The 12,053-nt window shown below is 46.7% G+C and overlaps 1 protein-coding gene across 7 annotated transcripts in view, besides 1 other annotated feature; it reads left to right on the top strand.

Annotated features, from left to right (window-relative positions):
* PCSK6 (proprotein convertase subtilisin/kexin type 6) overlaps positions 1–12,053 on the top strand; it is a 185,775-nt gene that overhangs the window by 72,860 nt on the left and 100,862 nt on the right. The gene's annotated exons all lie outside the window — the stretch shown is intronic.
* Positions 4,436–5,252: an enhancer, noted in NCBI's record as "H3K27ac-H3K4me1 hESC enhancer chr15:101951801-101952617 (GRCh37/hg19 assembly coordinates)". NCBI's record gives its function as "activates a minimal SCP1, AML or CMV promoter by ChIP-STARR-seq in primed H9 embryonic stem cells {active_cell/tissue: H9 hESC(primed)}" and the evidence as "EXISTENCE:reporter gene assay evidence [ECO:0000049][PMID:30033119]".

Raw genomic sequence — 12,053 nt, 5'->3', positions numbered from 1 at the left:
GGAGGTTCCCAAACCTCAGTTCTTGACTTCTGTGCACCTGCAGGCTCAACACACAAGTGGAAGTTGCCAAAGCTTGGGGCTCCCACCCTCTGAAGCCACAGCCCAAGCTGTACGTTGGCTCCTTTCAGCCACGACTGACGTGGCTAGGACACAGTGCACCAAGTCCTTAGGCTGCATACAGTACGAGGACCCTGGGCGTGGCCCATGAAACCACTTTTTCCTCCTGGGCCTCTGGGCCTCTGATGGGAGGGGCTGCTGTGAAGGTCTCTGACATGGCCTGGAGACATTTTCCCATGGTCTTGGGGATTAATGTTAGATTCCTTGTTACTTATGCAGATTTCTGCAGCCGGCTTGAATTTCTCCTCAGAAAATGGGATTTTCTTTTCTACTGCATCATCAGGCTGCAGATTTTCTGAACTTTTATGCTCTGCTTCCCTTTTAAAACAGAATGGCTTTAACAGCACCCAAGTCACCTTTTAAATGCTTTGCTACTTAGAAATTTCTTCTGCCAGATACTCTAAATCATCTTTCTCAAGTTCAAAGTTCCACAGATCTCTGGGGCAGGGGCAAAATTCTGCCAGTCTCTTTGCTAAAACATAACAAGAGTCACCTTTGCTCCAGTTCCCAATGAGTTCCTCATCTCCATCTGAGACCACCTGACCATGGACCTTACTGTTCATATCACTATCAGCATTTTTGTCAAAGCCATTCAACAAATCTCTAGGAGGTTCCAAACTTTCCCACATTTTCCTGTCTTCTTCTGAGCCCTCCAAACTGTTCCAGCCTCTGCCTGTTACCCAGTTCCAAAGTTGCTTCCACATTTTGGGGTATCTTTTCAGCAATGCCCACTCTATGGGCACCAATTTACTGTATTAGTCCATTTTCATGCTGCTGATGAAGACATTCCCGAGACTGGGAAGAAAAAGAGATTTAATTGGACTTACAGTTCCACGTGGCTGGGAAGGCCTCAGAATCATGGTGGGAGGCGAAAGCCACTTCTTATATGGTGGTGGCAAGAGAAAAATGAGGAGGAAGCAAAAGCAGAAACCCGTGATAAACCTGTCAGATCTCATGAGACTTACTCTCTATCACAAAAATAGCACAGGAAAGACTGGCACCCATGATTCAATTACCTCCCCCTGAGTCCCTCCCACAACATGTGGGAATTCTGGGAGATTCAATTCTAGTTGAGATTTGGGTGGGGACACAGCCAAACCATATCAGTGTTTGAAGAGTATTTTTATTCTATGCTCATTGAGTAAAAAAAATCTGTATCAGATTAGGGATTGCAACTGGTAGCCCATAAGCTGCCTTTGGCCTGCAGACATGTTTTGTTTGACTCACACAAGTGTATTTTTGAAAACTTGAGTAAACATTTACAAATCACAGTATTTTATGTAAAAATATGGATTTGGGGCTTTCTATGAAAGCTTAGAAGCTCTGGCTGTGCTGGGCCCTCATTCCTTAATGGCAACAGTCGGCTACGATTGCTCCTAACTCAAAGGGCAGTCTACCCGTCCCCGGGTGGCCTTCACAGACCTGGCTGCTTCAGCCATTTACCCTGCCTGCCTGATACCTTTAGGCATCAGCCTCTATCACCTGTGTGTTCTATCAAGTTCATTCAGAAGTTCTGGAGTCTTTCTTACTTTTTGTCTACCTGATCTGTTTCTGAGAAGGAATGCTGGTTTCCATGATGATTATGGATGTGTCAGTTTCTTTCCGTTTTCGCTGTACACATTTTATAGCTATTTACAAGGTACATTACAAGGTATAATGAATCTTCATCAATATAAAATCCTCTCTATCTCATTTTTGCCCTTTAATTGTACTTTGGCTGATATAACACCTGTACTTTGATTGATAAAAGTAGCACACTTGCGAATTTATTTTATCATCCTTCTTCTCATATATTCTTTATTTCTAATGTTGGTTTTATAAGCAGCATGTATCTGGATTTATATTTTAACACAATTGAAGAGTCTCTTTAAAGAAGGACTTTGTTATATTCATACATGTGCTGATTTCAGATATCTTTGGATTTATTTCTATTGTATTTGTTTTTATCTATTCATCCATCCATCCATCCATCCATCTGTCCGTCCATCTGTCTACCAATCTGTCTTTACCTGCCTTTTGCTGGTTAGATGTAGTTTCTTCTCTTTTCTTTCATTCTAATGGGTTGAAATTTTTACATTCTAAATCTGTTTTTCTGTTACTCTTTAAACACAGTTATTGGGACTTATGTTTCTCTACAGTGTTTAGCGCTAATCAGTACTTAACTCTTTCACCTGAGCAACATAAGAAACTTACCATAGCTCCACTCCTCTGCCATCTTCTGTCTGTCGTCACCTCCTTGAATTGGGATAATTCAAAAATTTAACTCCATATTATTTTTAACAAGTTTACATCATGCATCAACAATTGTGTGAGCTTAAGTATAAAGTCTAATTAATTTCTTTGGTCACCATTGTTTCTTTTTTCTTACATCTTTGTATGTGATTTTTTTATTTTACTAGATTTTCTCATCTATTAAATTATTCATTCTCTTAAAAGATATTTTGAGTGCTTGCTATAGGTATGAATGGTTATATAGATAGTAAATTTTCTGAGTCCTTGAAGTCTAAAAATGTCATTATTTTCTCCCTACAAATTTGGCTAGGTTTTGACTTTAAGTTCAAGATAATTTTCACTCATAATTTAAAAGGTATTACCCCATGGTCTTTGGTATTCAGTGTTGCTGACAAGGGGCGTCTCTTTGTCTCAGGTGAATTTTTTTGCTCTGAAGTCTACTTTATCTGATATTAATATAGCTACTTCTACTTTCCTTTGATTAATGGTTGTACAGTATACGTTTTTCCATCCTTTTACTTTCAACTTGCCTATATTGTTATATTTGAATTGAGTCTCCTGTAGATAACATATATTTGGGCCATTTTTTAAAATTTATTTTTCTTTTATAAAAATTTTTATTAATTTGAAGAGTACAATACAGTAGAAATTGCCTCTTTTTTCTTTTATTGATAAATGACATTTCACATATTTAAGAGGTACCTGTGAATGTTTTCTACATGCATGGAATGCAGAATGATCAAGTCAAGGCATTTGGGGTATCCGTCATCTTGGGTGTTTATCATGTCTATGTGTTGGTAACATTTCAAGTCCTCTCTTCTACACTGAAATATTTAACATATTGTTGCTAACTGTAGCCCCCCGGTCTGCTGTCAAACGTGGGCCATGTTTTTAGATTCACTTGCCAATCTCTTTTAGTTACTATATTTAGATGGTTAATATTTAATGTAATTATTGATACATTAGGGGTTAAGTCTGCCATTTTAACTTCTCTATTATTTTCCTCTGTATTTAGTTTCTCTGTTTTTTTTTTCCTGCCTTCCTGTGGGTTACTTGAACACTTTTTAAAATCTCACTTGGTTTATAATGTTTTTGAGTATGTCTTCTTGTATAGCTTTTTTAGTGGCTACCCTTGGTATTACATTATGCACATGTAACTTCTCACAATCAATTTTATGGGTGTTGTCACTTTACCAGCGTGAGGTACAGAAACCTTACCTTCCTTTATATCCCATTATTCTCTCCCATTTATATTTGTAATATACATACATATTAAACATACATTCATTTAGAACCACATCAGACAGTGTTGTAATTTTTGCTTCAACCATCAAATGTAATTTAGAAAACTTGAAAGTAAACTTGGTGAATCTGTAGGTTTATATCTCTTGCCAAATTTGGAGAGCGTTTAGCCATTATTTCTTCGAGAACTTTTCCAGCCCCCACTACTTTTTTTCCTCCTCCTCCTCCTCCTCCTCCTCCTCCTCCTCCTCACTCCTCCTCCATTATTAGAGACAGGGTCTCGCTGTGTTGCTCAGGCTGGAGTGCAGTGGGGCAGTCATAGCTCACTGTAACCTCGAACTCCTGGGCACAAGCAATCCTCCGGCCTTGGCCTCCCAAAGGGCTGGGATTACAGGTGTGAGCCACCACTCCTGGCCCTTTTTCCTCTCCTCCTGTCCACTCTAGTGACATGAAGTTTAGGTCTTTGTTATAGTCTCACAAGTCCCTAATGCTCTGTTCATATTTTTAAATTTTTTTCTTTATGTTGTTCAGATTGGGTAATTTTATATATATATATATATATATAATTTTCCAGTTCACTCTTTCTTCTGTCCTGTGGGTTCTATTACTGAGCCCATCACTGAGCTTTTTGATTATTGTATTTCCAGTTCTAATAATTCTACTTGGTTCCTCTTTATATCGTGTATTTCTTTGCTGAGACTTTCAGTTTCTTTATTGAGACTTTCTATTTTTTCATTTGTTTTAGGCATATTTGTAATTGCTCACCTAGGTGTTTTTTTCATGGCCTCTTTAAAATCTTTATTAATATACAACTAGTATATCCTTAAAAATTAAAAATAATTTTAAAAGGTAAACCTAAAAAGAGGAAGAAAATGAATAAAATGTCTGTCAGATGGTTCCAGCATCCGTTTCCTCCATGTTGGCATCGGTGATTGTCTGTCTTTATGCATTTGAGATCTTCCTATTCGTTCTTGGAATGACATGTGATATTCCTTTGAAACCTGTACATTTTTGCATTATGTTATGAGGCTATACCTGACTTCAGCCTTCTGTTTCAGCTGGCTTCTCTGGCCCTGTTGCTGCAGAGGACAAGGGGTACCATTTCATTATTGTCAGGGGTAGGTTGTCCAGGGCCCCCATTCAGCCTCCGCTGATACCCAAGCGTGGGAAGTCTCCTTATCAGTGCTGAGAAGGGGCAGTGGTTCCCACTCCCTGTGTGCCTCCCATGACCCCACAGTGCAGGTCCCCTCATTACTGTGAGCAGCAGTGAGCCTCCTGACTCTCCACCAGGCATCCTGACACAACTCCAGGGGATGGAGGGGACACGTTGTTACTGCTGGGTGTGGTTGGAAGACCAGGCTCATGGCATGGTATCTGCTGGCACCATGCAAGTGGGCCCCTTTTGAGGTTGCTGGAGGTAAAAGCGCTGCTTCCTACCTGCTGTTTCCTGACATGCCCCAGCAGTGAGGTCGGGCACCTCATTTCGTCCTCGCATGGGTGGAGGTCTAGGCTCGCCACTCAGGCTGTGCTGCCATAGGTCGGGGTGGTACCACGGTTCCTTGCTGTGGTATTTGGCCTACTTATTGTGTATGGTTTTTTCCATTTGTTCTATTGGCCCTGTCTCGTCGGGTCCCTCTGTTCTTGTTCATGTTGCTTTTTAATTGGGTGCCCCTCTTTCTTGGGATGGGTTTTCCTCAAACATGGGCTGCTTCTTGGTCGTCCACCCCTGCATGTGCTCACAGATCCCCATGTGGCTGTGGGTGGTTGTCTGGTCTGACGGCAGGGGTCTTTCTGTGATGTGGAGTGGAGGGAGCTGTTGCTTGATAGCATTTCTTCTGAGAAGGGTGCGAGGCGGACTCCCCGCTCCCAGGGCATCGTCCTGGTGCTCTGGCCTTAGGACCCTGTCTCACTGCACCAGCCTCAAGATGACTCTGCTGCTGTCCCCACTCAGCCTGGAGGCTGAGACCTGCCACCCTAGCTCCTTACTCCGAGGCCTGTTTGGGGCTCCTCCTGTCCTTGCACGCCCAGCCTGGCACCTTCCTCAGCTCTGGAATTGTTCCCCACTCAGAAGTCCTCGCGCCAGGACCCCGCCTCCTGCTGCTACCTGATGCCCTCTGCTTCCCGTCTTTCCTCAGTGCCTCAAGACAGCTCGTCTGTGCTGATCTTGTTTCCCAAGGCTGGTTCAGATTTGTTCGTTCTAAGTTTTATTCCTAGGGATCCAGGCCCTGGGGAGAGGTAGGCTGCGTGCTCAGTCTTCCTCCTGGGTTGGGTCTCTTGAGTCTTTTCACTGTGGTGCAGATGGTGACACCTCTTGCCGATTGCTGTTGGTTGCCAAGCACTTGTAGTCATCTTTGCATCCAGTTCTTAGTGTGCCTCTGTGCGCTGGACATGATCATGGCCGTTTCCCACCAGGGGAGACTAACAGAGAGATGAATTGCCACATCTGGGTTCACACAGCTGCCAAGAGGCAGCGCAGAGGCTTGAGCTCAGGCCTGTTGCCCTGAAGCCTGGATTCCACCTTTGCAATCATAGCCTTCTGATGCTAGGACATCGCGGTGACCAGATGAGAACAGCTGCCACCAAGCCCAGTGGCCAGAAACAGAAGCAGAAGGGGAAGCCTTCGCAGTGTATAACTGTATACTTCTTGACTGAATTCTGATTCCTTCCAAGCATATTTTGGCCTCGCCTCTTCCTCCTGGCCTAAAAAGGTATGATAATGGGAACAGCACAGGAGGGAGCGAGAGAGGGCAGCAGGCATTTCCTAGCCCCTCTTCTTATTCATCCTTTCTTTGCTCTCTTGCTCTGTTCACCTTTTTGTCTTTTTAATTTTGACCTGGCACATAGTTCTCCTTCTCTCTCTCTCTAATGCTCCTTCCCTCCCAGCCCTTCTGCTTCAGGGTGGCATTGGTGGTGGGGGGCTCCAGACTTGGCTGCCTCCACTGCCATCAGCTCACCTCCAAGGTGAGTGCAGGCTGAGCTTCATGGCAAGCCCTTCCTGCTGGGGCCTGCAGAATTCTAAAGGCCCTGGCCAAGCACAGTGGCTCACACAAAATCCCTGCAGTTTGGGAGGCCAAGGCAGGAGGATCACTTGAGGCCAGGAGTTTGAAACCAGCCTCAACAACATAGTGAGACCCTGTGTCTACAAACAATTTAAAAATTAGCCAGGCATGGTGGCTTATGCCTGTAATCCCAGCCACTCAGGAGGCTGAGGCAGGAAGATCTCTTAAGCCTAGATGTTTGAAGCTGCAGTGAGCAATGATTGTGGCACTGCACTCCAGCCTGGGCAACAGAGCAAGACTCAAACTCAAAAAAACAAACAAACAAAAAAGTGTGAAGGCCCCTCCCAGAATGCAGGCTGAGGATGTGATCCCATCCACTGCACCAGGTCCTCCTGGCTTCGTGCCCCATGCGGCATCCTTTGAGAAAAGCTTGCTGGGGAGCCAGGTGTGCTGGCTTGGCCGGAGTGGAACCTGCTCTCTCAGGGAGGCTTGCAATATGCAGGGGAGGTGAGTGGAGCCCTCACCCCTTTAACTTTACCAGGCTTCTACCCTTTAGCAAGTTCCTCACGTGTGCTGATACTTAACCAGATTCAGACACTTTCCTAAGGCAGGAGGGGTGTCATGAGGGACACTGCATTATGGTACACTTTCCCTGCATTTTTTTTTTTTTTTTGAGACGGAGTCTTACTCTGTCGCCCAGGCTGGAGTGCAGTGGCACGATCTCGGCTCACTGCAAGCTCCGCCTCCCGGGTTCACGCCATTCTCCTGCCTCAGCCTCCCGAGTAGCTGGGACTACAGGCGCCCGCCACCGCGCCCGGCTAATTTTCTGCCTTTTTAGTAGAGACGGGGTTTCACTGTGTTAGCCAGGATGGTCTCGATCTCCTGACCTCGTGATCCGCCCGCCTCGGCCGCCCAAAGTGCTGGGATTACAGGCGTGAGCCACTGCGCCTGGCCTTGTATTTTTAATAGAGACAGGGTTTCACCATGTTGGCCAGGATGGTCTCGATCTCCTGACCTCGTGATCCGCCCGCCTCGGCCGCCCAAAGTGCTGGGATTACAGGCATGAGCCCCCGCGCTCAGCCTCCCTGCTTTTCAGAAGCATCGCCAGTCCACAGGGCAGGATCCCTGAGGCTGGTCTGGAGTAGGCTGCATTTGGGGCCTGCAGCAAGGGCAGCTGGAGACCGCAGGGAGCCCTCCCACCTGACAAACAGAAAAGCTCCCCTGCTCCGGCCCCCGGATATAGGTGCATCTTTTCAGACCATGTTTGCCCTGTTTCTGGGAAGGAAAAGTAAACGGCAGCGACCAGATTCCTGTTGGTGTTTTTGCTCCATATTTTGATTGGGGAACTGAATCATGTTTTTCCTTTCATAAACACGAAAATGTTAAGTACATAACAGCTAAATTAATCCATGCCCATAAATTGGTTAATTATGTTAATTCTGAGTCACAGAATTCAGTCTCGTTAGTGTTTCCATTAAGCAGTTTAGGCCTGTGAGCATTTTAAGAGAACAGTTTAAGCTGTAGATTAATCTTCAAAGGTTCCCAGCGCATTTTCAACTGCAAGAGGATTTTAAATGCACTGGGGGGCTTGGGGGGATTTGGTGAATGTTAGGAGCTGCTGCTGTCAGGGAGCGGGTGTTCCCCACTTCCTCGTCCCTCACCTCCCCCAACACATCCAAGGCCCCTGCCTGCTAGATCTGAGCATCGCCAGGCTAAGCAGGAGCCATAGGAAGGAGGAGATGGGCAAGAACTGGCATAGCCCCTTCTGCCCTGTGTCTCCCTGGTGGCCATGCCCTCCTCAGGCCGCCCTGCTGCAGACACCCGCAGAGAATGGGTGAGGCTAGCTCTCGAATGCTGTGGGCTGCATAGCCCTGGGTTCCTGAGAGGGCTGCTGAGGGGCTTTCTTCCTGGGTGTACATAAGAAAGAAGCAGAGAGACAGGAAGAGAGCACGCTGAGTCTTAGAAACAAGCTCCTGGGTGGCCTTTGTTCATGGCGGCATGAACGTCTCCTTTTCGCCGTCCGTGTCCCCTTCAGAGGTCCGTTCAGGATATGGGTTTGCTTTCTTGGCACGTGCGCCTCCTCTAGGGTTCCTTGCCGTACTTGCGTGTGGTGCAGATGTACGGGTGCTCCATCTGGCTCAGAAGCCTGCTGTCCTGTCCTGCATCCCAAGCTGCCGGCTCTCACTGGCTTCCTGTGTGTGCCTGGGCCATGCACTTCTGTTCTCCAGCCCTCATTCCCTAGCGGGGAGACCGTGAAAGGGTCAGCCTCGATGTCAAACCTCTAGACCATGGCTAAGGCTTTTCCAGGTTTTGTATTGTTCTTTGAAGAATCAACAGGACCCGATTATCAAAGAGAGACCTGTTTAAATATGTACAATCATTTTCGGTATTATTTAGGTTTGGCAAGGCCAGCAGATGAGGAGACCACTGCCATGCATTGAAAAGGTGGTTTGTTCCAGTTCCCAAGAGGATGCGTCCCAGTACCGTATGTGGGGCCACACAGAGAAGCAGCGGGTTCTGTCAGGAGGCAGGAGAGAGGGGAAGACACGGGCCAGAGGCCTTGTGGTGGTTTCTGTGGGAAGGAGTGGGTGAGGCAGAGAAGGCAAGTTCAGAATCAGCTAGGCTGAATAATTTCAGCAGACTCAGGGGAATAGGGGCTGTCCCTAGCTGCCTGACACCTGGCCTTGGGTGGTTAGGTTAAGGGAGTAGTGACCTGGTGTGTGAGAGCCCATGATGGAGGTGGCTGGGGTGTAGACTCTGGATTGGTTGGCTTGCATGTGAAAAGCACACTCCTGATGGGTAGTTTACTATCCCGAGACCCTGGGTAGCGCCTGAAGGAACAGTCTCCCCAGGGTCAGCAAGCCCCAGATGTCAAAGCATCAGATACTGAAAATACAAGAGGAAGGGGAGAAGATGGATGATACCAAAGTTATCCCAGACGCAGTACCAGGGCCAGGGCCTCAACTTAGCTTTTCATTAATCTTCTCAACTGCCTTGGCAGATAAATATTGTAGAAAACATGATTTAGAGAGGCTGAGACTATGGCCCAAGGTCATGCAGAGCCGACATTCCGCTCCAGGACTCTCTGACCCCAGCTGTCTTCCCCCTACCATGAGCTGCTCTGTATCTTGCCAGGGGCCATACCCTTGCCACACCACACTGCCAGCCTCCCACGCTGGTCACGGCCCTTCTCTTGGAGGTCGCTGGCTGAGAGAGCTGCGCACCTGTGTCCGTGACACAGCTGTGGAGATGGGACGCCAGACACATGGACCACAGACTGGGGAACCAGTCTCAGTTATCACGGGACCTGACCTGGGACAGACCTCATCTCCTGGATCCAGGGCTGCATGCAGGACATGCCCATAAGGAGCGTCGCTGGCTACAGCTGTGTTTCCACTGTAGAAGGAGGTGGAGTGGCTCCATCAGGGCATCAGGAACAGAACAGGAAGCAGGAAGAGATTTGGCTTGGTGATCCCCCGCGCGTCCCCACACACTTCATGTCACGATGGCGAACGTAGGTCTGCCTTGACAACTCGGCAGACCACAGCTCCCTGGAGCTCCTAGAACAAGGCTGTCCTGTGGGGGCATAGTTAGCAATTTGAAAGCCGTGTCTATTGTCTTAGGTGATAATGAGGGTTGACAGAAACCTTTTAGGATTGTAGCATTTCTAAGTAACTGTTGAAACCTTACTTGGCCCGGAATGGCTGCTCATAGAACAGAATGTGCTATAGTTTTACTGAAAAAAACAAAACAAAAACAAAACATAATTCTCTGTGGACTTACTAAAATAAACCCAGGGCTAATGAGCAAAATGTGTTGGGGAGGCCTATTTGTCACACTCAGGAAGCGACAGTCTAATTTTATTTGCTCCTGTTCATTGCTTCTGCATTGCCATTCATTCGCTGAAGGCAAAATACATTACTTCTCAATAAACAAAAGTGGGCCCAGCGTGTCCCGCTCCCTGCCTTCCTCCAGCCGTTATCCCCCCGGGCAGGAGGGCTGACTTGTATTGATGTGCATGTGTGCGTGTGTGTGTGTGGGTGTGTGGGCTTGTGGGTGTGTTCTTCCCATTGCTCTTAATGTTGAGCTTCCTAGAAAGTTTTCAGGGGAAATGCTGTGTCTCGTGCTGACTGGGGCCGGCTGCATGTTGATAGGTTCACCTTGCCTTATACAAACCTGCTATTTGGAAAGTCGAGATATAAATTAGAAGCAGGCGGCCGGGTACGGTGGTTCATACCTGTAATCCCAGCACTTTGGGAGGCCGAGGTGGGCAGATCACTTGAGGTCAGGGGTTTGAGACCAGCCTGGCCAGCATGGCGAAGCCCCATCTCTACTAAAAATATAAAAATTAGCCAGGCGTGGTGGTGTGTGCCTGTAATCCCAGCTACTCCAGTGGCTGAGGCAGGAGAATCGCTCGAACCTGGGAGGCGAGGTTGCAGTGAGCTGAGATCACGCCACTGCACTCCAGCCTGGGCGACAGAGGGAGACTCTGTCTGAAAAAAAAAATTAGAAGCAGGGGAAATGGAGGAAAGACAGGTCACTACGGAAAAAAAGTGGCTTTGTTTTTTTTTTTAGCTTCACTAAGTGAGTTGTAAAATCATTCATTTCATCAAGTTCTCCCAGGGCATTTAAAATATTATTGGGTTTAGGAGATTTTATAGGAATGCACGTATTATTTAAAGCAAGGCAAACTGGTGTGATTCCTTCCTGGATGGAGCTTCTGTGGGCAGCTGCAATTGTCAGTGGGGGGATTGGTTCCCATAGCACCCCGAGTTCTTCCCTCAAACACAAAGGCACCAGGTTCTCCAAAGCAACCATCTTCCTTCCACTCAACACTCCTCCCGCCTCACACCCACAGACTCGTCCTTAGAGTGGACTGGGCAGGCGGGTTCATTGTGCCACGCTGTGCTCTGAACCCAGCATGCCCAAAAGCAGTCCGTTAGCAAGCTGACCATGGGGAGTTCATTGCCATCAATGCCATCAAAACAATTTGCCCAAATCAAATTTATACCTGACATTTTATAGTAAATGGGCCTTTCTTTTCTCATTAGAGAAATCATTACTGTTTTTCTTCTCCTTGGCATTTCCAGAGAGCCATTCACATTTAAAGCTCATGTTGGAACAGCAGGCTTCTACTGAAAATATTTACCTTTTCTTTGTTGGCAACTTGTCAGTGTTGGGGAAAATAGATGCTTCATTAAGATCTAAGCGCGTGATGCTTGCTTTCCCACACATCAGTCAGTCTTTTTCCAAGATGAAAAGCATGGTGAGAGGTGTTGGGAAATCATTCTGGTCATATGTTTTTATGTATTTTTGGATGTCTTCTGGCATCCCGTTCTTCTTGTTCAAAAATAGGCATTTCAACACCTATAACTTGTAGAGAGAATCCTAGAACAGGATCAGCTTCACCACTTAGAGCATCAGAATTGGTCTTGACCCCCGGGTGGCCAGTGAGGTCTCCTG

Source organism: Homo sapiens, chromosome 15 (assembly GCF_000001405.40).
Source record: "Homo sapiens chromosome 15, GRCh38.p14 Primary Assembly".
Classification (NCBI taxonomy): domain Eukaryota; kingdom Metazoa; phylum Chordata; class Mammalia; order Primates; family Hominidae; genus Homo; species Homo sapiens.
Note: the sequence above shows the minus strand (reverse complement) of the source record. Positions and strands in the feature narration are given on the sequence as shown.